This window comes from Homo sapiens, chromosome 1, assembly GCF_000001405.40.
Source record: "Homo sapiens chromosome 1, GRCh38.p14 Primary Assembly".
NCBI classification, from domain to species: Eukaryota; Metazoa; Chordata; class Mammalia; order Primates; family Hominidae; genus Homo; species Homo sapiens.
The window spans coordinates 20,429,373-20,451,717 of NC_000001.11; the positions used below are offsets into that span (position 1 = coordinate 20,429,373).

At 50.1% G+C, this 22,345-nt stretch overlaps 3 annotated features.

Moving 5' to 3' along the window:
* Nucleotides 10,011-10,211: a silencer, noted in NCBI's record as "peak103 fragment used in MPRA reporter construct". NCBI's record gives its function as "represses an SCP1 promoter by STARR-seq MPRAs in K562 erythroleukemia cells {active_cell/tissue: K562}" and the evidence as "EXISTENCE:reporter gene assay evidence [ECO:0000049][PMID:32103011]".
* Nucleotides 11,514-11,573: a silencer, noted in NCBI's record as "silent region_364". NCBI's record gives its function as "represses an Ori minimal core promoter by ATAC-STARR-seq in GM12878 lymphoblastoid cells {active_cell/tissue: GM12878}" and the evidence as "EXISTENCE:reporter gene assay evidence [ECO:0000049][PMID:35858748]".
* Nucleotides 13,567-14,067: an enhancer, noted in NCBI's record as "H3K27ac hESC enhancer chr1:20769432-20769932 (GRCh37/hg19 assembly coordinates)". NCBI's record gives its function as "activates a minimal SCP1, AML or CMV promoter by ChIP-STARR-seq in primed H9 embryonic stem cells {active_cell/tissue: H9 hESC(primed)}" and the evidence as "EXISTENCE:reporter gene assay evidence [ECO:0000049][PMID:30033119]".

Sequence of the window (22,345 nt, forward strand, 5' to 3'; positions counted from 1 at the left end):
CCTCCAGGCAGCCTGGCCCCTGCCCGAGTACTCCCCAGTTTATCTCACACCCTGTTCCTTCACTCTCAACCCTCCACAAAACCCCTGGGGCCTGGGATCCATCCTATTCTCCCTCCCTCCACCCTGGCTTTGCATCTGCCCTTCGTTCAGCCTGGAAGCCCTTCCCTCTTGCCTCTCTCGTGGGAAAGAAGGAACCTATTCACCCTTCAGCTGCAGCTTAAATATCAGACCAAGACGATCCCCTGGTCTGCACCCAGAACTTCTCTTTTGTAACACAGTCCACATATTAGCAACTACTTAAGAATTTACAGGCTAGGCAAAGTGGCTCATGTCTATTATCTCAATACTTTGGGAGGCCAAGGTGGGAGGACTGCTTAAGCTCAGGAGTTCAAGACCAGTCTAGGCAATATAGTGAGACCCCATCTCTACCAAACATAGAAAATTAGCTGGACATGGTGGTGTGAGCCTGTCATCTCAGCTACTCGGGGGGCTGAGGTGGGAGGATCGCTTCAGCCTGGGAGGTCGAGGTTGCAGGGAGCCGTGATCACGCCACTGCACTCTAGCTTGGGCGACACAGCAAGACCCCATCTCAAAAACAAGAATTTGCTGCTAATTTCTAAATTATTTTTCTCTTTTATATAATAATTTCATCCCTGTTAGGTTGAAAGATCCATGATGCTAAGCCCTCCTCCACCTTGATCCCCGCCATCCCCAGTGCCTAGCAGAGCCCCTAGCACATTGGAGGTGCCCAATAAACATTTGTTGACTGACTGATTCACTTCTAAGGCCAAGATATGCTCCCCCTTGAGCGTTGCGATCAGTTCCTGTACGTGATTCCATCCAGTCCTCACAACAGCCTCTGAGCAGGGAGTGGTTACCCCCCTTTCACAAAAGAGAAGACAAGCTTGGAGAGGTGAGGTGACCTGCTCAAGGTCACACTAGGTGTGAGGGTTGGGATGCAAATTCAGGTCCCACAGAAGCACCCTCCCCATCAAATCCCCTTCCCCTGAAGGCTGTTAGGAGAAGGTGGTCGTGCCATCCATCCTCAGTCCTTGGGGACAGCCCAGACCTGCCCCAGGCTCCAAACAGGCTAGAATCAGCCCCGCTCTGCAGACGACCCAGTTGCTATAGGGCCTCCTGCTTCTGCCCACCCACCCCCGGTGAGGTGCCCATGGAGGGTCTTAGGCTGCTAAATCCCTCCCAGGGAGACCGTGGCGCCCCAGCGCCCTCTAGTGGTGGCAGGAAGAGTCTGTGGGGAGGGCAAGGAAGGGGAAAGGGAATAGGTTGCGGGAGGGAGGAGGTGAGGAAGGGGAGAGAGGATAAGAGATGGGAAGAGAAAGGTGGAGCTGAGAAAGGGAGGGGGAGAGGAGCAAGAGGAGGCAAGTGGGGCACTTTGTCCTGGGCCCTGGAGTCCCTTCTCCTCTCTGGTGCTCCCTCTGACAGTTGCCACCCTGGGTTTCTGCCCTCCAGCTGGCCTAGCCCTGGGGGCCTGAGAGGGACATCCCTGCTCCAGGGAATTGCTGATTCGGAAGGTCCATCTCCTGGTCAAAGCCCTCTCCCAGCTGAAAAGGGGCTGGGAAGAACTCCATCCGTCTCCTCTCCACCTCCTCTCACCCATCAGAGTCAGTAGGGGCTTCCAGATGCCCCCCGCCCCACAACCACAAGGACACACACCACCCGGCTCTGCCCCAGCCTTTCCCTTCTCCCTCCCTGCCCAGCCACCCCAAAATCCCAGCAGCTGCAGTTGCCATAGAAACAGCACCCCCACCCCACCCCCACCCCTTTCACACAAACAAACTGCAACCTGGGGAACAGGGAGCCGCTGGAAGAGGCCGAATGTGCAGAGCCAGCTCATTTCCCGCTCCTCTCACTTCAGGATAATTAGTGCAAATTAAATTTCACACCCCTTCTCCCGAGCAGTTAGAGCTCCCTGGGAATGGATACTCACGATTCATGGGGGAACATGCTCAGATGTCTCTTTGCAATGTGCAAATACAAGAGAACATTTCTCAGCTTCGAATTCTCAACAATTCCCCAAAGTTGGCACTAAGGCAGGAGTGCAGGGCCAGGAAGTAAGTGTGCATGTCCGAGTGAGGTGGGGACAGGTCCCCCCAGAGACGGGAGACTTGAGTCCAACACTCAGCTCTGGCACCCTTCCCCTAGGTTTTCTCACCTGTAAAGCCATAAAGAGGGGCCAAGTCACCGAAGAAAAGAAACCTGCTGGTCACCAAGGCCTCCAGCTCAGAAGGGTCCCTTCTTGGTTTAAGACTCTGCTTTCTAATTTTTGAACAAGAAGCCCACATTTTCATTTTGCAATGGATCCTGCCAATTTTCCAACCGGTCCTCCTTGCACGAGTTTATTTATGCATATTAGGTATCTGGGTGAGGAAACATGCACAACACTCCTAGGCGCAAATAATAATAATAGCACCCGCTGTGGGCCGGATGCTGCTCTGAGTGCTCTATGTGGCTTCATCCTCACAGCAAGCCTGTGAGTGGTTTAACACAGGGCTTCTCAAATGTTAAGGTGCCTGGGCCTGGGGATCATGCTGGAGCACAGGGTCTAAATCAGCAGATCTTGGGGAAGGCCTGTGATTCCGTATTTCTTTCTTTCTTTTTTTTTTTTTTCTTTTTGAGACAGAGTCTCTCTCTGTCGGCCAGGCTAGAGTGCTGTGGTGCAATCTCGGCTCACTGCAACCTCTGTCTCCGAGGCTCAAGCAATTCTGCCTCCGCCTCCTGAATAGCTGAGATTACAGGTGTGTGCCACCGCGCCCAGCTAATTTTTGTATTTTTAGTAGAGATGGCGTTTCACCATGTTGCCAGGCTGGTCTCAGACTCCTGACCTCAGGTAATCTGCCCAGCTCAGCCTCCCAAAGTGCTAGGATTTTTGGCGTGAGCCACCGCCCCGACTGACATTTCTAACAAGCTCCCAGGGGAGACTGATACTGCTGTCCCTGAGAACTCATTTGACAAGCAAGGGCAGCAAAAGCGTGGCCTAGTAAAGGCCTTGGTGCTCCTGTCCCCTTCTCTGGAAATGCCTAGGAGATACTTCTTCCTCCAGGTGAGGGCTAGGAACACACGGCCAATTAATGGCTGGCAAGGGCTGGCCTCCTTCTCTTATGGTGGCCACCTCTGCGAAGCTATTTATGATTCAGAGCTCCCCATGGGATCAGGCTGAGACTAGACACCAGCTGACCCCACATCTCAGCTTTGAGCTTTTCCTCCAGTTCTACCCTGTTTCCCACACTGGCTTGCAGTTTCTCCCACAATAAATTGCTTGAGTAAGAATGCTTGTCTCGGGCCCTGCTTCCCAGCAACCCAACCTAAGGCAGGGAGATACTACCATTTTCCTTATTTTAATGATGCAGAAACTGACCAAGAGGTTAGCTTGCCCAGAACATATAAGTGATAGAGGCAAAAGTTGAACAGGCAGACTCATTCCACTACCTCTATATACTTGGATATACAATGCAAATCCGTTTTTGGACTCGCATACATACACTCACATCAATGCACCTGTTTACATGCATGTCTATATACACAGCATATTTTTGTGTGCAAAACGACACTCATATGCACACAAGTAGATATCAGTTCACTCAAACACCTACTTCCACACATGCACACACCCCTGACATCTACATCCCCAAAGATGAAAATGTGCATATTCATTCATTCATTCAATTCATAAATGAATTGTCACATACGTGCTTGGACATCTTTTCACCAAGTCTCAGTGCAGACTTCGCCCCCTCCTGGAGCTTTCCCTGCCTCCCTGAGTGATATGGTTTGCATCTGTGTCCCCACCCAAATCTCATGTTCGATTATAATTCCCAGTGTTGGAGGTAGAGCCTGGTGGGAGGTGACTGATCATGGGGGTGGGTCCTTCATGAATGGTGTAGCACCATCCCTTTGGTGCTGTTCTGGTGATAGAGTTCTCACAAGATCTGGTCGTTTAAATGTGTGTGGCACAGTCGGCCGGACACAGTGGCTTATGCCTGTAATCCCAGCACTTTGGGAGGCCGAGGCAGGCAGATCACCTGAGGTCAGGAGTTGGTGACCAGCCTGACCAACATGGAGAAACCTCATCTCTACTAAAAATACAAAAATTAGCTGGGTGTGGTGGCACATGCCTGTAATCCCAGCTACTCAGGAGGCTGAGACAGGAGAATCACTTGAACCCGGGAGGCAGAAGTTGCCATGAGCCGAGATCGCACCATTGCACTCTAGCCTGGGCAACAAGAGCAAAATTCCATCAGAAAGAAAAGAAAGAAAGAGAGAAAGAGAGAGAGAGAGGGAGGGAGGGAGGGTGGGGGAGGGAGGGAGGGAGGGGGAGGAAGGGAGGGAGGGAGAGAGGAAGGAAGGAAGGAAGGAAGGAAGGAAGGAAGGAAGGAAGGAAGGAAGGAAGGAGTGTGCGGCACCTCCCCTCTCTCTCTCTTCCTCCTGCTCCAACCATAAGAAATGCCTGCTCCACCTTCGCCTTCCACCATGATTGTAAGTTTCCTGAGGCCTCCCCAGAGGCAGAAGCTGCTGTGCTTCCTGTACAGACTGCAGAACCTCTTTTCTTTATAAATTACCCAGTCTCAGGCATTTCTTTATAGCAGTGTAAAAATGGACCAAGACACTGAGATTAGGTCCAGAGTCCCTCAGGCCCCGTCCTCACCCCTTTTTCCAGTCTGTCTCCTCTGCCAGTCTGAGAGCTCCTCTGGGACAGGGTACTTGGTCTGATTTGCCATTGTAACCACAGGGTCTGGTACAGGGCCTGGCCCATAGTAAGTGTGCCATACACATTTGTCGAGCTGAATTTAATCCAGCTCTGCCATTTACTAGCCATGTGACTTTGGAAGAGTCTCTTCCTTCTCTGCATCTCAGCTTCCTCATTTCCTCAACTCCCAGGGAGGTGGTGCTGTCGGGTAGCAGGTGACCCAGTCCAGTCTTTTTTTTTTTTTTTTTTTTGAGGTGGAGTCTCGCTCTGTCGCCCAGGCTGGAGTGCAGTGGCACAGTCTCGGCTCACTGCAAGCTCCGCCTCCCGGGTTCACACCATTCTCCCACCTCAGCCTCCCGAGTAGCTGGGACTACAGGTGCCCGCCGCCACGCCCTGCTAATTTTGTGTATTTTTAGTAGAGACGGGGTTTCACCGTGTTAGCCAGGATGGTCTCAATCTCCTGACCTTGTGATCCGCCCGCCTCGGCCTCCCAAAGTGCTGGGATTACAGGCGTGAGCCACCACGCCCAGCTGACCCAGTCAAGTCTTAAGGAAAGTACTAGAAAACATTTCTTAAAGGACAGGAAGGGGCATTGAGCTGAAATTTGAAGGCATGTCAGAATTCAGCCAGGTGAAGAGGGAAAAGAAGAGTTCCAGGCAGATGGAATAGCATGTGATGTGCAAAGGCTCAGAGGTAAGAAGGAGCTGAAAGGAGAAATCTGCGTGCCTGGAGTGCGGTAGGGAGATTGCCCATGGAGAGGTGCTGAGAAGCCACAGTTTGCATTTTATCTTGAAGGCAATGGAGAGCCGTTGAACATTTTAGTGAGGACACAGCTGATGTGGGTTTTTAAGCACCCAAGCCAGGCGCGGCAACTCACGCCTGTAATCCCAGCACTTTGGGAGGCCTAGGCGGGCGGATCACCTAAGGTCAGGAGTTTGAGACCAGCTTGGCCAAAATGGTGAAAACCCATCTCTACTAAAAGTACAAAAAATTAGCCAGGGGTGGTGGCGCGCACCTAGGTTGAGGCAAGAGAATTGCTTGAACCCAGGAGGCGGAGGTTGCAGTGAGCTGAGGTGGCACCACTGCACTCCAGCCTAGGGGACAGAGAGAGATTCCATCAGAAAAAAAGAAAAAAGCACCCAGGTTGCTATGTAGAGACTGGATCAAGGCTGAGGTTGGAGAGCAAGAATGGAAGTGCAGACACCATTTGAAACACTGTTGCTGGCAGCCAGGCATGGGCATGAGATGACAGCGACTGGGATCTGGGATTAGGATGGGGTCAGTTGAACCAGAGAGAAGCAGATGGTTTCTACACAATCAGAAGGTAGCATCAAGAGGTCTAGTAACAGCTTGGATGTAGAAACTCAGAGAGAAGGAATAACTGGCTAGACACTCCAGACCTCAGAGGGACCCCCATTTGACGGATCTTCCCTTGTATACTTCCCTGCCACACCCATCCCCATGGGAAGCCAGGGAGCTAGTCCCTCTCTCTGCCTCTGGTCTGCTCCCTTTGTCTTCCCTGACCACTGCCAACCCCATCAGTGTTCAGGGGCAACTCAGTCAGGGAGCTGTTCTGCAGCCTGTCTGGTCCTTTAAAGTCATGGAATTTCCGTCCTTTCCAGCCTCATCTCCCACAGAGTTCCTCTAGGCAGGGCTCTACCACAGATCCCAACTCAAAGACACCAGTGGGCGTTCTGCTCAGCCCACGCTCGTCTAACTGGCCCCCAGGCACCACCTGCAGCAGCAAGAGCCCCAGAACTGGAAGTTCCTGCCTTCACTGTGCCACTCACTTGCTGTGTGACCTTGAGCAACTCTCTCTTCCCCTCTGGGCTCCAGTTTCTCCATCTGTAAAATGAGAGAATGGGATGCAATGATGCCTAAGGCTCTGGCCAATCAGAGCACCAAATCCCCTAGGTTGCAATAATTGGTACCAAGGTGGGCGCGTGACCCAAGTTAAGCCAATGAGCACCCATCCTGGGGCTCCTGGTTGAAACTTTGTATAAAAGCATCTCACTTTCAGCAGGGTTTGCTAGCTGGCAGCATGTGAGCCTGGAGATGGTGGTAGGGGGCCTCAAAAGAAAGTGTGCTTGAGGACAAAGCCAATACTTCTCCCTGAAGGTATGTCTCAAGCTCCTGGATCCAGCCATGCCTGAAATCAGTTACATGGAACAATAAATTCCACTTTTTGCCTAAGTCAGTCTGAACTGCATTTCTGATGTTTGTATCCAATGGGATCCTGACCTGTATAAGTCTTTCTTTCCACATATATGTGCTATAAAGTTGAGGACCTCAACTTTAAAATATTTAATGCTTTCTCTAGTGATGCCTTCAGGATGCCTTCTTTGCTCTCACCTGTTTCTCCCAGTCCCCCTATCCTTGAACCTAGCTGAGGTGTCACCTCCTCCAGGAAGCCTTCTCTGACCGCCCTACCTTCCAAAGTAGGTTTCTCTAAACACTAATCCTTCAAAAATCCCATTTAACAAAAAGGATTCTATGGTCAAACAAGCTTGGGAAATGCAACATACTATATCCTCCTTTCGGAGGACTCATTGCACTGAGCCCATAAAGAATCCTGAGAAGTTCTATCCAGAGAAACCAGTTCATTTTGTCCAGTGTTTCCCAAACTTATTTCCTCATGGAGCCCTCCTCCCTTTTTCCATGGAATATCTATTAACCTCCTGCAGGGTGAGATTCCAAGGTGTCACTTGGGCAAACACTATCCGTAACTTCCATAGATTCACTCTCAGTCCCCTTCAGGGGGGGTTTCAGAGCAATTAAATGCCTACTGTGTGTGAGGCCCACAGCAAGTGGCTAGGAATACATCAATAAATCAGACACACCCCAGCTTGGGAGGAACCTGCAGGCTGAGCGACAGCCACACCTTACTGCTTGAGTCTGACCTGGGCCCACCAAGGCTGTATAACCTTGACCAAGTCACTCTTCTCCTCTAGTCTTCAATTCCTCCAACTGTAAAATGAGAGAATGCAATGCCACAATCCCTAAAGACCTGGCCAGCCGGAGCACCAAATCCCTTAGGCTGCCATGATTGGTTCCAGAGTGGGTGCATGAACCAAGCTGAGCCAATGAGCGTCCATCCTGGGGCCCTGCAGGAAGTCAGTTGCCTCCACAAATCATGTGCCAAATGTGGGTTTGAACGCATGGGTGCATATTTTGGAGGAAAAAGAATGTGTTGGCCAGGAACGTTGGCTCACGCCTATAATCCCAATACTTTGGGGGGCTGAGGTGGGTGGATCATTTGAGGTCAGGAGTTCAAGACCAGCTTGGCCAACATGGTGAAACCCTGTCTCTACTAAAAATACAAAAATTATCCAGGTGTTATGGTGGGTGCCTGTAGTCCCAGCTGTTCAGGAGGCTGAGGCAGGAGAATCACTTGAACCCAGGAGGCAGAGACTCCAGTGAGCAGAGATCACACCACTGCACTCCAGCCTGGGCAACAGAGTGAGACTCCATCTCAAAAAAAAAAAAAAAAAAAAAAAAAAAAGAATATGTTTTCTCCAATGCCTCCATGACCCAAAGGAGGTTTATAAATGCTGGCAGCGATGAAAACTCAGTACCAAGAAAATGTTAGGGTGAGGAACTTAAGGTTTTGTACGAAAGGGTAGGGGGATTAAGACTGTGAGTGGATGAATGTGTTCAAGCCTCCCTGAATACTTTACATTCACCTAGCTGAGATGGTTTTGATTTCCTGGCAGATAAGGACTCAGTCTCTGATGAATTGCAGTGATATCATTTAATAGCTGTGTGTCCTCAGGCAAATTACTCAACCTCTCTGCACCTAAGCTTCCTCATCTTGAAAATGCCCCCCAGGTCTGACCTCACAGAGGGAGGATTAAATGAAATCAGGTAGGTGAAGTTCTTAGTCCAGAGTTGGACAAAAAATAAACTTTAAATAAAGGTTAGCTTGAACCGTGATAGCACAGTGAAAACCAATCACAAAGAATGGTCCCTCAATGATAGGGACAGCGATGCTCTTCTACAGAGTTTCCCTAAGTAATAATGGGGAGCCCCACCCTCCATTTCCATCTCCCTCCCACCTCCTGCCCACCAAGACCTTTGCAGGCTCCTCACCCCTGCAGGGTCCCCAAGATGCCTGTCAGTCCTCCTTACCCTGGGACAGAGTCGAGGCTGATTTGGGCATCCAGGCTTCCGTTCTGACGCTCACAGCCCTTCTGGGTTTGTGCCCTGGAACTGGGAGTTCATAATTCTTACAGTCTATCTTAAGCAGCCGATGGTCCTCACCTCCTGGTATCCACGGCCCTGTGTACTGGTCTCCCCATCAGGGTGCACTGGACCTACAGACTTGCTTCTAAGGAATAGAATACAACAAACATGTTGAGATACCATTTAAAAATTGGGTTCCTAAAGCCTCTGGCTTCCTTATTGCTCACCAGCCCTCTCTTGTTCCTTCTCTGCCTGCTCTGCTGGAAGCCACTGCCGTGGTATGAGCTGCCCTATTTGGAGGCCCATGTGGCAAGGAAATGAAGGCGGCTTTTGGCCAGCAGAGAGCAAAAAGTTGAGGACTTCAATCCAACAATCCATGAGGAACTGAATTTTGCCAACAGAAGGGATCGTGGAAGCAGATCCTTTCCCAGGCAAACCTTGAGACATTGCAGCCTCAGCTGGCACTTTCATTGCCATCTCATGGGGGAACCCGGGCCAGAGGACCCAGTTAAGCCACACCTGGATTCTCACCCACAGAAACTGCGAGATAATAAATGCTATTATTTAAAACCATTCAATTTGGGGATAATCTGTTACACAGTAATAGATAACTAATACACATTGCAAAAAAGAAGGGGGTTGATTTTGGGGGACTCACTGACCTGGAAAGTCCAGGAGTAGAGCTTGTTTTGGGTATGGTTGGATCCATCAAATGTCAACAGGCATCCTTCTGTCTCAGTCTGGGTTTATGTGAGAGCAGGGCCTGAGACAAGGGGATGCTTGCAGGTGGTTTATTTGAGGGGTGATTGCAGGAATGAAGGTGGGAGGAGATTGAGATAAGCACGCTGCCTCCCAGAAGTGTCTTTCTGAAAAACAGGAGCCAGGGGCACTTACCCACCAGCTCTGCACTGCACTGGTTGAGGGTGGTCCCAAGGGTATTAATTCCTCTGGACTTCAGAGCTGCACCCACGCTCAGGCTAGCGGGCTCCTCAGCTCAGGAAACTCTTGAGGTGGATCCTGCCAGTGTGTACAGGACTATTCACTGCAGCTGTACCTGAGCTCAGGCACAAGGAGCTAATGCAGGATGCCAAAAACATCTACACTCTCTCCTGCATCCCTCAACTCCCCTCCTCTGAGATGCTTGCAACATCAGGCAGCTTCTTCCAGAGGCTGGCAACAGTACCATGGACAGCCCCAGGCTTTCTTCCTGCAGCCTAGCAACCCCAAGAGAAAGAGCTTCTTCTTGGTAGTTCCAGCAAAAGTCTCAGGATTGCATGTCATTGGATGACAAAGATCATATGATCATCCCTGAACCAATCACTGCTTCAGTGGACTGGGCCTAAGGTTTGACCCATCCCTGTAGCCATGGACTAAGAGTAGTTTCCCTAGGGAAAATTTGAGAAGCTGAAGAAGAAGAAGCTATAAACGCTGGCCAGAAAACAGATAAACAGGCGTCAGTTACATCCACATGAGTCATGACTCATATTAGTGGATTATAAGGTCAATTTATTAGGTGATAACCAGCATTTTTAAAATTAGCATTTTTGAAATTAAAGTAAAACAGTGGCTATCAAACTTTAGCTGCTTCAGAATCACCCAGAAGGCTTCTTAAAACAGCCTTCTGTTTTAAGGCTGGGCCCTACACCAGAGTTTCTGATTGCTGGGCCCTACACCAGAGTTTCTGATTGAAAGAGTCTGGGATGGGGCCCAAGAAACTGGATTTCTAACAAGTTCTCAGGTGACGTTGATGTTGCTGGTTCAGGGACTCCACTTTGAGAACTATGGAAATACAAAATATCAGACTATACTGCAGGTAATATGGCTGTTTTATTCCATGAAACTTGTTTCAATTACATATGCATGTGGACACTGGGTAGCCACGTGAAAGGTATTTCTTTCTTTCTTTTTTTTTTTTTTTTTTTTGAGACTGAGTCTCACTCTGTCACCCAAGCTGCAGTGCAGCGGCACAATCTCTGCTCACTGCAACCTCCACCTCATGGGTTCAAGCGATTCTTCTGCCTCAGCCTCCAGAGTAGCTGGGACTACAGGTGCATGCCACCACGTCCAGCTAATTTTTGTATTTTTAACAGAGTTGGGGTTTCACCATGTTGGCCAGGCTGGTCTCGAACTCCTGACCTCAAGTGATCTGCCCATCTCAGCCTCCCAAAGTGCCAGGATTACAGGCATGAGCCACCGTGCCTGGCCAAAAGGCATTTCTTATTGAAATCACCCTACTGCAGTGAGATTAAGTAATTTGTCCAGAATCACACATCTACTAACTGAAGGGACAGGAATTTGAAGGCAGGTCTAACAGGCTTTTAACTGCAGTGCTCTACTGATCATGGCACTGGCTGCGCTAACTACAAGTAACTCATTACAGGATCTAGGCTAGTTGTCAAATCCTGTGTTTGTCACATGAAGAAGTTACGATACAAAATAATAGACCCCAAAATATATTGGCTTAAACAAGATAAAAGTTCGCTTCTCTCTCATATGACAATCCAGAGGTCCATTGTCCAGGGCTGGCAGGGCAGTGCTGCCAGCCTCCACGTGTGGCTTCCCTCCTGGGGCCCAAGGGGTCTGCTCCAGCAGCGGGAAGTGAGGAAGAGGAGGGTAAAACACACTCACTTTAAAGAGCACAGCCCAAAGTCGCATGTGCCACTTTTGCTCATATCCCATTGGCTGGACCCCAGTCACATGGTCAGACTGGCTGCAAGGGAGGCTGGGAAATGTAGTCTTGAGCTGGAAGGCTGTGACTACTAGGGGACAACCGGTATACTCTACAACACCAGGTAGTGTGGCCTCATATGCCTCACTGAGGTGCCCATCGAGGGGGAGGACAGCCCTGGAAAGACACCCAGGTGGTCTCCCAGTGGCGGTTTCCCCCACAGAGCACAGAATGATGGCAATACTCCCAAAGACAGGGTCCAGCCACCTCTCCCGAGCCCCCAGCTGTGGATCTAATACTAAACCCCTACCCAGACCATTCTTGGCTTAACATTTTCTAACAGCTTTCTACGGACAGCATATTTTCCAGTTTATTCTATTGTGTCAAGTGGAGCTTTCAATTTTAAGCTTCAAAGTTTATTTACTTAGAAAATGTTTGCTTTATCAAAAAAGGATGCTGTGTGGATACTAATAAAGCCTTGTACCTCCAGCCAACAAAATAATCACCTCTGGCTGAATGGAAGTGAGACCACATTAGACTTTACTCCAGGGCTCATTTGTACTGGCCCTGCCACCAAACTTCACCTCCCTGTCTTATTTCCAAACTGCAGATGCCTCGTTTTCTAATTTTCCCCATAAAGCAGTGACTCATAAACAAGAACAGATTTCTCTTGCTTGCAGAAAAGGTAAATTGCTGGCAGAAATAAATTTGCAGATGCTAAAATTTCACAGGAAGGAGCTCACTGGTGCAGAGGGTTTGATATCCTGCCCTGCTCCGCTCTTCCCCCACCTATGTGTACCCTTTATCTTCCCTACCAAGCCAAGCTGGGTGCTGTTAGGGCCTTGCTGAACTCTACAGGCATGGTGAGGAGGTGGGCTCTGCCTTGGAGAATGACTCCCCTGTTTATCTCTGGGTTTGTCCCAGTTCCTGGGCCTGGGATTGGACTGGGGGCCCCTGAGGCAGAGGACTCCAGCATCCCGGCTCCACTCAGTACAACGACCTCGATTTATGTGGGTTACTCTCAGCCTGTGGACCTGTCACTTGGTGAAGAGCAGGCCTGTGGGACCTGCCCAGGGCCTGCAGGAGGTGCTTCCTTGCTCAGGCAGATTGTGGAACCCAGGCCAGCAGGTGGCCAGCTCAGATGCCACAGCATCCTCCTTCCAAGAGTGAGAGCCCGGGGTGAGCTCTAGAAGTCTCCCTGTCTGACACAGAACCCGCGTCAAAAGGGAAGAAAGATGCAAACTGTCATTTCCTAAGCAGCTGCCGTGTGCTCTCACTGTGCCAGGTCTCCAAATGCATCTTTCCCAATCTTCACAAGCAAGTCCTTGTAACCATTTTCCAGGTAAGGAAACTGAGGCACAGAGACGGGACATCACTCACCCACACTCACACTGCCCTCAAGTGACAGAGCCTGGATTCAAACCACCCTTGTGGCTGGTCTCACCTTCCTGCAGGCCTCCCTTCTTTCTCCATCTCTCCCCAATTCCCCCACCCCCTCATCCTGCTTCACTCCTGCCCAGCCTCATCTGGAATATTGAATCCCTCCTTCTCTCCCCTGCTCTTTTCACAGTAAGCACAGAGCATCCAAGGGGGAACATTTTTCCAAAGAAAACAAATTTAAAGGAGCCAGGGGTGGGGGTAGGGAAAATCTCTGAACGCAGTAGGAAAAATTCAGCAGAGGCAAAGGCCTCAGAGACTCAGGCCAGATGGGGCATGGGTGCCTCCTCCACCCTCAGCAAGACACTCAAGGACAAATTCGATTTACAGTCACCCACTGCATACCCAGGGCTACCTTAGCAACTAAGTTTTAAATTTGGTAATATCCTACACCTCTTTCCCATGCCTAAAATCTTCCCTGTTGATAATGTGTTAATTTAAGCTTCTAATTTCTCTTAAAATCCAGGTTTCTGCACCCTCCCAACCCACCACCCTCCTAGGAGGGGTTAGTCATTTACACTCTAGTATAAATAAGTCTCCTGGCCCTTCCTGAGAGAGGATGTTCTGAGGAGAGTTTAGCCCCAGAAAGAATCATAGGCTCTCTCAATGTCCACTCTTCTCCAGTAGCCAGAGGGACTCCAGGCTGTATCATCTCCAAACACTCCAGGGCTGAGTGGTACCAGATGTGGCCAATGACTGCCCTGGAAGACAGCAGGTCAGGTGCCTTCCCACACTAATCCCTAGCATGGCAGAGGCCTGACTGAGGTCCCCACAGACAACAGATGGTGAGCCAACTTCTGCGTTGCCATGGCAGCCCTGGAATGGGGGTGAGGAGACTGTGCTGGGTGTGCACAGACACTTATACCTAGATTACATGAGGGCACGTGGGGAGATGGATGCAAATTTCAGACATTATAGTCCTCTCCTCCACCCCCATCTGGGGACTGCAGGACTCTTTAAAGGTGCCCAGGCAGATGGGGCAGTGGTCGGAGGTCCAGGACCCAGAAACAGACCTGGGCTCCAGGGCTAGGCCTCCTCCTCATCCCTGGCTAAATCACGGCCAGCTGTTAGGTCAAGCACAACCAAGGGGCTGCCAGGGCCTGCATCCCCCTGCCTGGCAATTCAAGGACTTATTCTGTGTAGGACACTCAAAGACAACAGGAGCCCCAGAGGCAAAAGATCTTTGGGGGCCAAAGGTCAGATCTGTCAAGAGAGGCCCCTAGGACCTGCCTCTCTTGTCTCTACCAGGAGTCTCTGAGCGGCACCAGGGGCCAGTGTAGGACCCAACCCAAGCTGATCCACCCACCTCCAGCTCCTTGAGGGCAATTCTCACTCCCTGGGCCTGTCTGAGCTGTGAGAGCAGGTGCCATTGAACCATGATCTGGGTCAAGCTAGCAGAGTTGAGCCACAGCACTGAACCTCGAAGCCCAGCCCCAACCCACCTCCAGAACCAAGCCTGCTTCTCAGAGGACTGACTGCATGCATTCACACGGTGCATTCACACCATGCACACACACACACAGAGTTCACACTCAGTGCACCCGGTATATACAGGAAGCACTCAGGGTGTGAGCACATCATGCATCTGCCCCAAGGGTCCCCTTATCCACCAGTGCATGCACACACACTGTGCACGACTTGTGCACACAACACACGCCTAGGAGGCCCACACACCAGGCAGAAAAAGGATACAGTGAGAACTTATGCAAACACACCCACATTCCTACGTGCAGTATAGACAGTGCATACAGTATAAATACAGCATGCATGGAATAATGCGCATATAGTGCCACAGTAGAGCAAGTTCACACTGCACAGGCACACACACACGTGCACATATACATAGCAGCATTCACACACGCACGTGCACACACACAAACACACACACACAGAGTATCTTCAGCCCTGCAGGGCCAGCCCAGGGAATGTCAGAAAGAGCCAGGAAAATCCCTTCCCTCCTCCCTGGAGGTGAACAAAGACCTGAAGGGTCATTCACTGAGGCAAGTTGGGACCTGGGGAATTCCTGACTTGGCATCTGGGCCAGCCCCTACAGACAATGAGGTCAGGGACCTATTCTCCTAAGAGAGGCCCAGGAAGGAGTATCCTGGCCTAAGCCAGGCCCAAGAGCCTTGTAATCACCTGGGACAGAGATGGGGCTGGAGGACAGCCCCAGGGAGGCTCCTGAACCAGCCCAAAGCCTGCGGCTCCATCCTGCCTGGCTCCCGCCTTCTCTCTCAGTTATACCCAAAAGGCCAGGAGCCCAAGGTGGTGGTGGGGGGCACTGAACAGAAAGGAGTCTGGGTCTAGGCCTGGCTCCACCTCTACACAACTGGGCATTCTGGACAGGGCCCTTCCCATCTTGAGCCTCGGTTATCCCCTGATACCCAGAGGGAATCACCTTGATCCTTCTTGTCCTCATATTGAGGTATATGTCACATGGGTCACTCGTCACCTAAACATCTGACCCTTGGCCGGGCGCATTGGCTCACACTTGTAATCCCAGCACTTTGGGAGCCCAAGGCAGGCAGATCACTTGAGGTCAGGAGTTCAAGACCAGTCTGGTGAAACCCTGTCTCTACTAAAAAAAAAAAAAAAAAAATTAGCCAGGTGTGGTGGTGCGTGCCTGTAGTCCCAGCTACTCGGAAGACTGAGGCACAAGAATTGTTTGAACCGGGGAGGCAGAGGTTGCAGTGAGCTGAGATTGTGCCACTGCACACCAGCATGGGTGACAGAGTGGGACTCCATCTCAAAAAACAGAAAAGACATCTGACCCAACTAGATGGTGAGCCCACGGTCAGGGTGATGCCCCCCCACCCCCTGTAGGATCTCCCCAGCATCGGCACTGGATGGGGCTGTGGACAAGATCAGTAAGAGGCTTTCACCACCCAGGGATAGCCTAGTCCTTCCATCTGGCCTGTGCAGGCTGGAGGGTCTTGCCTGGTCGGCTCTTTTGAGCCACCAAGCCCAAGCCCAGAACTGGTGTACCTTGCTGGGGCGCAACAACCCTAGCATGATGCAAGAAGCACCAAGCTAGAGGTCAGAATGTGTAGGTTCCAGCCACTGACTCTCTGTGACCTTGAATGAGTCCTATTTTGTGCCTCAGTTTCCTCATCTTTAATACAAGGAAGTTGAACTAGAACTGGTCTCCGAGACATCCCATTCTAAGCTTCCATGTCACCAGAAGCAGGTGGTCTGAGCTGGAGCAGGGAAAAGGAGAATCTGCCAGGGAAGGTTCCTCTCCCAAGCTGAGATTCCCCGAGCATCCTTCAGGCAGGCGCTGGGTCAAGCCCTTTCTGCGCACAGTCTCATTGACCAGGAAGATGCCACTAGGATCTCCCATGTGCAAACCAGGATGCAGCAGCTGAGGAAGGACCCAAGGTCACACCCGCAGTAAGTGGCAGAACCATAATTGAATCTCACGTTTATCTGATCATTTAGGCATAGCTTTACTAAATTCTTTACAAGTATTAACTCACTTAATCCACACAATTCCAAAGGTGGGTGCTATGATTATCTAGATTTTGGAGAAAACAGAGGCCTGTCTGTTAAGTAACTTGGAAAAGCCATACAGCTAGAAAGTGGAAAAGCTGAGACCTGAAGCCAGGCACTTTCCACCCAGAACTTAACCTCCTAACCATTGTGCTAAACTCACCCTTCCCTGCTCCCTCAAGGGAAGCAACAGACCGTGCCCAGACGAGGTCCTACTCTGGCTAAAAGCCACATTTCCCCCCCGCTCCTGCCCCGCTACTGACCATGTGTAGCTGTTATCAATTGACTCAGGAACACTGTGTAACAACCACCCACACGACCTCTATGGCACACAACAATACATAGTTACTTCCCCTCACCAGTCTGCAGGTCAAGTGGGTGGTTTTGGGGATCTGGACCAGGCACAGCTGATCTCAGCTTGTCTTGCCCAGGTGTCTGCTGACAGCAGGCAGGTGAAATGGGGGCTGAATTGTCTAGAATGCTCTCACTCGCATATCTGACAGTTGGCTGGCTGTTGCTGGGGTGATGGAAGTGACTGGGCCACATGTCTGTCATCTTCTAGCAGGCTAGCCCGGAATTGATGACATGACAGTGGTAAGGGTCTGCGAAAGAGAGAGAGAGAGAGACAGAGAGAGACAGACAGACAGAGAGAGACAGACAGAGAGAGAGGGAGAGGAAGCTGCAAGTCCTCTTGAGGCCTAGACTTGAAACTAGCACATTGCCACGTCCTCCACTTTGCAGTGGCTAAAGCAGATCACCAGGACAGCCAGAGCTGGGGAAACAGACTCCACCTCTTGAGGGAGAAGCTGCAGAGTCACTTTGTAAATGGTATGATTACAGAGAAAAGGGAAGGATTGGCACATCTTTGCAATCAATCTGCCACACCATGGGTCTGTTTCCCACTTTCATTTTTACACATTTTCTTATCCTATCCGAGTCACAAAAAATCAGAGCTGGGATGGGGGCGGGGGGACTTAAAAATTAGCTAGTCCCTAGTTACCCATTCTGCAGATGGGGAGACTGAGGCCCATAGAGAGAAAGGAACATGCCAGGGGGCCTGGGTTCAGGCTCTTCCCTTTGGTTTGGGGACCAGTGCAGACCAGCAGCCTCCCTCTGCCTCCTTGCTGCTGGTGTCCTCACCACCACCCCACTGAGCTGGCACTTGGCACTGAGTGCCGGGTAGACGGTTCTCCTCTCATCCCCCGCCCACCTCTGCTATCCAAACTGAATGCTCTTATTTATATGAGTCACACCAAGCCCGGACATTTGTGCAATTGTCTTCCACATACAAAGTGCCTTTGCGCATTACCCTATCCCCATGATCGCCCTAATGAGAAAGGTAAAAGCAGTAATAATAGTCACCCTTAACACTTACTGTGCACATTCTAAGGGGCAGGCATTGTTCTAGGTGCTGACTTCTATTCACTCATTTAATGCTTATGTCAACCCAAGGAAGGAGGTACTATTGTTATCCCAAACTATAGAAGGGGAGAATAAGCTCAGAGAGGCAGAGTGGCTTACCCAAGCTCCCGTAGCTGATAAATATCAGGGCACAAACCTAGGTCTGTCTAGCGTCAACGCCAGGCTATGCCAACACACTGGGAGGTGGTGCCTAGGTTCCTTCAGTTTCCTCTCCCCAGAGTTCTGGCCTGGAGTAGGGCTGGAGCTGTGGCTCATCTCCTTAAATAGGAGAGGTAAGCCCATCAGTCTACGTAGCAGAGAGATAAAAAAAATGTAAGACACCTGTAATCCCAGTACTCTGGGAGGCAGAGTGGGGTGGATCACTTGAAGCCAGGAGTTGGAGACCAGCCTGGCCAACATGGTGAAACCCTGTCTCTACTAAAAATACAAACAAACAAAAATTAGCCGGGTGTGGTGGTGCGTGCCTGTAGTCCCAGATACTTAGGAGGCTTAGGCAGGAGAATCACTTGAATCCGAGAGGCGGAGGTTGCAGTGAGCCGAGATCGCACTACAGCGCTCCAGCCTGGGTGACAGAGTGAGTGAGATTCTGTCTCAGGAAAAAAAAAAGATGTAAGAGAGCAGAAGAGCTCAGCATGTGGAGCTAAGCAGCCCAGGTTCAAGTCCTGGTTCTGCCACCAGCTAGCTATGTGACTTTGGGTGATATATTTGACCTCCCTGCACCTCAGTTTTCCAATCTAGAAAATGGGTGTAATTATTATAGTACCCACTTCCTGGAATGGTCATGAAGATGAAATGAGTTGATGTATATGAAGCAATAACTGGCACGTAGTAAATGCTCAATAAGCGTTGGCTGTTATTATCCATATCTGGCCCTTTTGGCTTCTGGAACACCAGAGAGCAGACAAGTCAGCGCTCAGAGCTGCCCTGCAAGAATAAGATCTCTCCATTGGCGGAATGATAGAGAAGCCGACCAGGGGTCTGCTCCCCTCCCTTTGTGCCCCCTGAGCACTGGGTTCAGGCTTTTAGAGACTCTAAGCAATGAAAAGAAGAGGGGGTCCCATCCCCACCCCCACTATCTAAGTCTGAATAAAAACAATGCTAAAATCTAAAAGGAGCACGAAGAAGTTTTAACCATGCTGACTTTGGGGATGATGACAATGTGGATGCTGTGTCACAAATATCATTGGAGTTTATTTTGGTGCCTCCTTCTTGGAAACACTGAAGCATTCGCTTGGTCTGACTTGGTATGGTCCTGCCCTGGGCTCCCAGGTAGCCTGAGGGGTCAGTGAATTCCATGGCAGGGACTGGGGACCCTCAGGAGGGGAGAAGCAAATCCTTTCCCAAGAGCACCCCATACTACAGGGGGACGCAAGGAGAAAACCCTCACCCAGGATGCTAAAAAAAAAAAAAAATTCCTCCATCCAACAATGTGGCAGCTGCGGTTGCCAAGGAGATGATGAGGAAAGCAGGCAGTGCTGCCTCCCACTTGGCAGAGCCCCTGCCTCCACCCCGGCCCAGGAGGGCATTCTCCTGGTGTCATCCTGGGGGCGAGAGGCCAGGCCGGGAAATAGGAGCCCGAAGGTCACATTTCTGCATTGTCACCCATTGTCCCCAGAGCAGAGGGCATGGACCAAACAATGGGCTGATGAACAATAGGGAACAGCAGATGGTCTCTCCCCCAACCTGCTCACCCCCCACCCGAAACCCCACCCCCACTCCCCAGCTGGTGCCGCTGGGCTTGCCAGGCCCGCCTGGGATGTCCGGGTGGGGGGCCCAGGCTCAGCTGGCTGCAGACCCCAGCATTGCACCTGCCCACAGTGGGTTTTTGGAAAGAGGCTCTGACTGGGAGTTAAGACCCCTGCATGATGGAAAATCAAAGGAAGAATAATAACAGCTAACATTCACTTGTGTCTAAAATAAATCTGCTCTTTGTATAAAATCCGAACTCCTAAAAGGCACAGCACAAGCCAACCCCAGCCCACCACTCTCTACGACTCTCCCTAGATGGCTGTCCCAGGGTGGCACCGCCCTTCTTTCTGCCCCGAAATACAGTAAGTCCTTTCCAACCTCTACACCTTTGCAGGTCCTGTTCTCCCACACCTGGAAATGCCTCTCCATGTGGCCAGCTCCTCCTCATCAATCAGGTCCCCCTTCCAATATCACCACTTCAGAGAGACTCTCCGACCATCCTGTCTAAAGTAAAGGGCAACTTGGCCCCTTCAAATGGCGTTTGTCACCAGTTATAATTGTTGATTTGTTTCCTTCTTTATAATCTGCCTCCTCCACTGTGGATAGGTGCCACGAGCACAGGGACTGCGTTTATCTGTTTATCTTCTTCTCTGCTGTCTTCCCTGCACCAAGAACAATGCCAGGCACACAGTAGGTGCTCAGTAAATATTTTAACTTCTGGACAAGCTCTCCATACTTAATCCTCCCAATCCACCCTTCGAGGTTGTTTTTGTCCTCCTTTTATAGAAGGAGGAATGGTGGCTCAGAGAGAGGTTAGGAACTGGGCAAGCCAAGACTGATGGTAACAAGGATGTGGAGGGAACTTGGACTCTGCTGGTGTGGATGCACAATAGTTGAGCCATGTTGCAAAACGTGTGCATATATTTACCATATGACACAGCAATTTCATTCCTAGGCATTCACTCAAGATAAATGAAAACACATGTCCACACAAAAGACTCATGTGTGACTGGTGAAGCAGCTTTATTTGTAATAGCCAAAAACTGGAAGCAACCCAAATGTCTATCAACTGGTGAGTGGACAACATGTGATACCTCTTACCTCTTTACAATGGAATACTATTTAGCAACGAAAAGGAATGAACTACTGATACAAGAAACAACATGGATGAATCTCAAAATGACTATGCGTGAAAGAAGCCAGACATGAAAGACATAGACCATACAATTCCATTTATGTGAAATTCTAGGAAGGGCAAAACTATAGTGACAGAAATGGTGGAGAGGATTCACCGCAAAGGTGCAGGAGGGGCAGGAGGGGGTTCCATGAGCTGATGAACATGTTCTATATGATTGCAAGATTGTGATATGATAAGAAATATATATTTAGTTCTCCTCCCAATTCCTGGTGTAAAAGTTTTTTAAAACCCTTGGAATTTCCTAGGTTACAGGAGGGGGGTAGGCAGCCTCTTATTATTATATTATTCATAACGAGTCCCTTTCAACCACACCTGAGTTTATTCTAATGAGGTGGCTCTTTCAGGATACCGCTGGATGCCAAGAAGACCAATCCTGTGATTAGAAGGGTGGAATTTTCAACCCCACCCCATGACCGCTGGAGAGAGGAGAGGTGCTGGAGGTTGAATTGATCACCAATGGCCAATGACCTAATCAATCATGCTTACATAATGGAGCTTCTGTAAAAACCCTAAACAACTAATTTCAGGTAGCTTCCCGGTCTGTGAAAGTATCCACATGCCACAAGAGTGGCACACCCCAAATTCCACAGGGACAGGAGTTCCAGAACTTGAGACTCTTCCAGACCTTACCCTATGAACCCGTCCATCCGGCGGTTTATTTGTGTCCTTTATAATATCCTTTATAATAAGCCAGTAAAGTCTAGGCAGGGTGGCTCACGCCTGTAATTCCAGCACTTTGGGAGACCAAGGTGGGCAGATCACTTGAGGTCAGGAGTTTGAGATCAGCCTGATCAATATGGTGAAACCCCGTCTCTACTAAAAAGACAAAAATTAGCCAAACATGGTGGCACATGCTTGTAATTCCAGCTACTCGGGAGGCCAAGGCGGGAGGATGGCTTGGGCCCAGGAGGTTGCAGTGAACTGAGATCACACCACTGCCCTCCAGCCTGGGCGACAGAGTGGGACTCCATCTCAAAAATGAAGAAGAAGAAGAAGGAGAAGGAGAAGGAGAAAAGGAGAAGGAGCCAGTAAACTATTGTCCTGAGTTCCGTGAGCCCTTATTGCAAATTATTGAAACTGAGAAAGGGGTGTGGGAACCTCTGATGTGTAGCCGTCAGACAGAAGTGTGGGTTACCCAGGGACCCACTGCTTGCGATCAGCATCTGAAGTGGGGCGCAGTCTTGTGGGACCGAGTCTTTAACCTGTGTGGTCTGTGCTAACCTCAAGTAGTTAGTATCAGAATTGAATTAAATTGTAGGACACCCAGTTGGTGTCCACAGAGAATTGGAGAATTGCCTGGCGTGGGGGGTGGCGGAACACACATTTGGTGCCAGAAGTGTTGAGTGTAAAACAGATCCTAGAAATAGTAGACAAAGTTTTCCTTTCATCATGACTGTAATCGGTTGTGGTAATGAGACTGTATACATTTGTCAAAACTCATCAAATTGTATACGTGAAATTGGCAAATTGTCTTGTCTATAAATTACACCTCAATAAAATGACCAAAAAGGGGAGGGAAGGAGTCCTGAGTTTCAGTTCTAGCTCTGGCATTCTT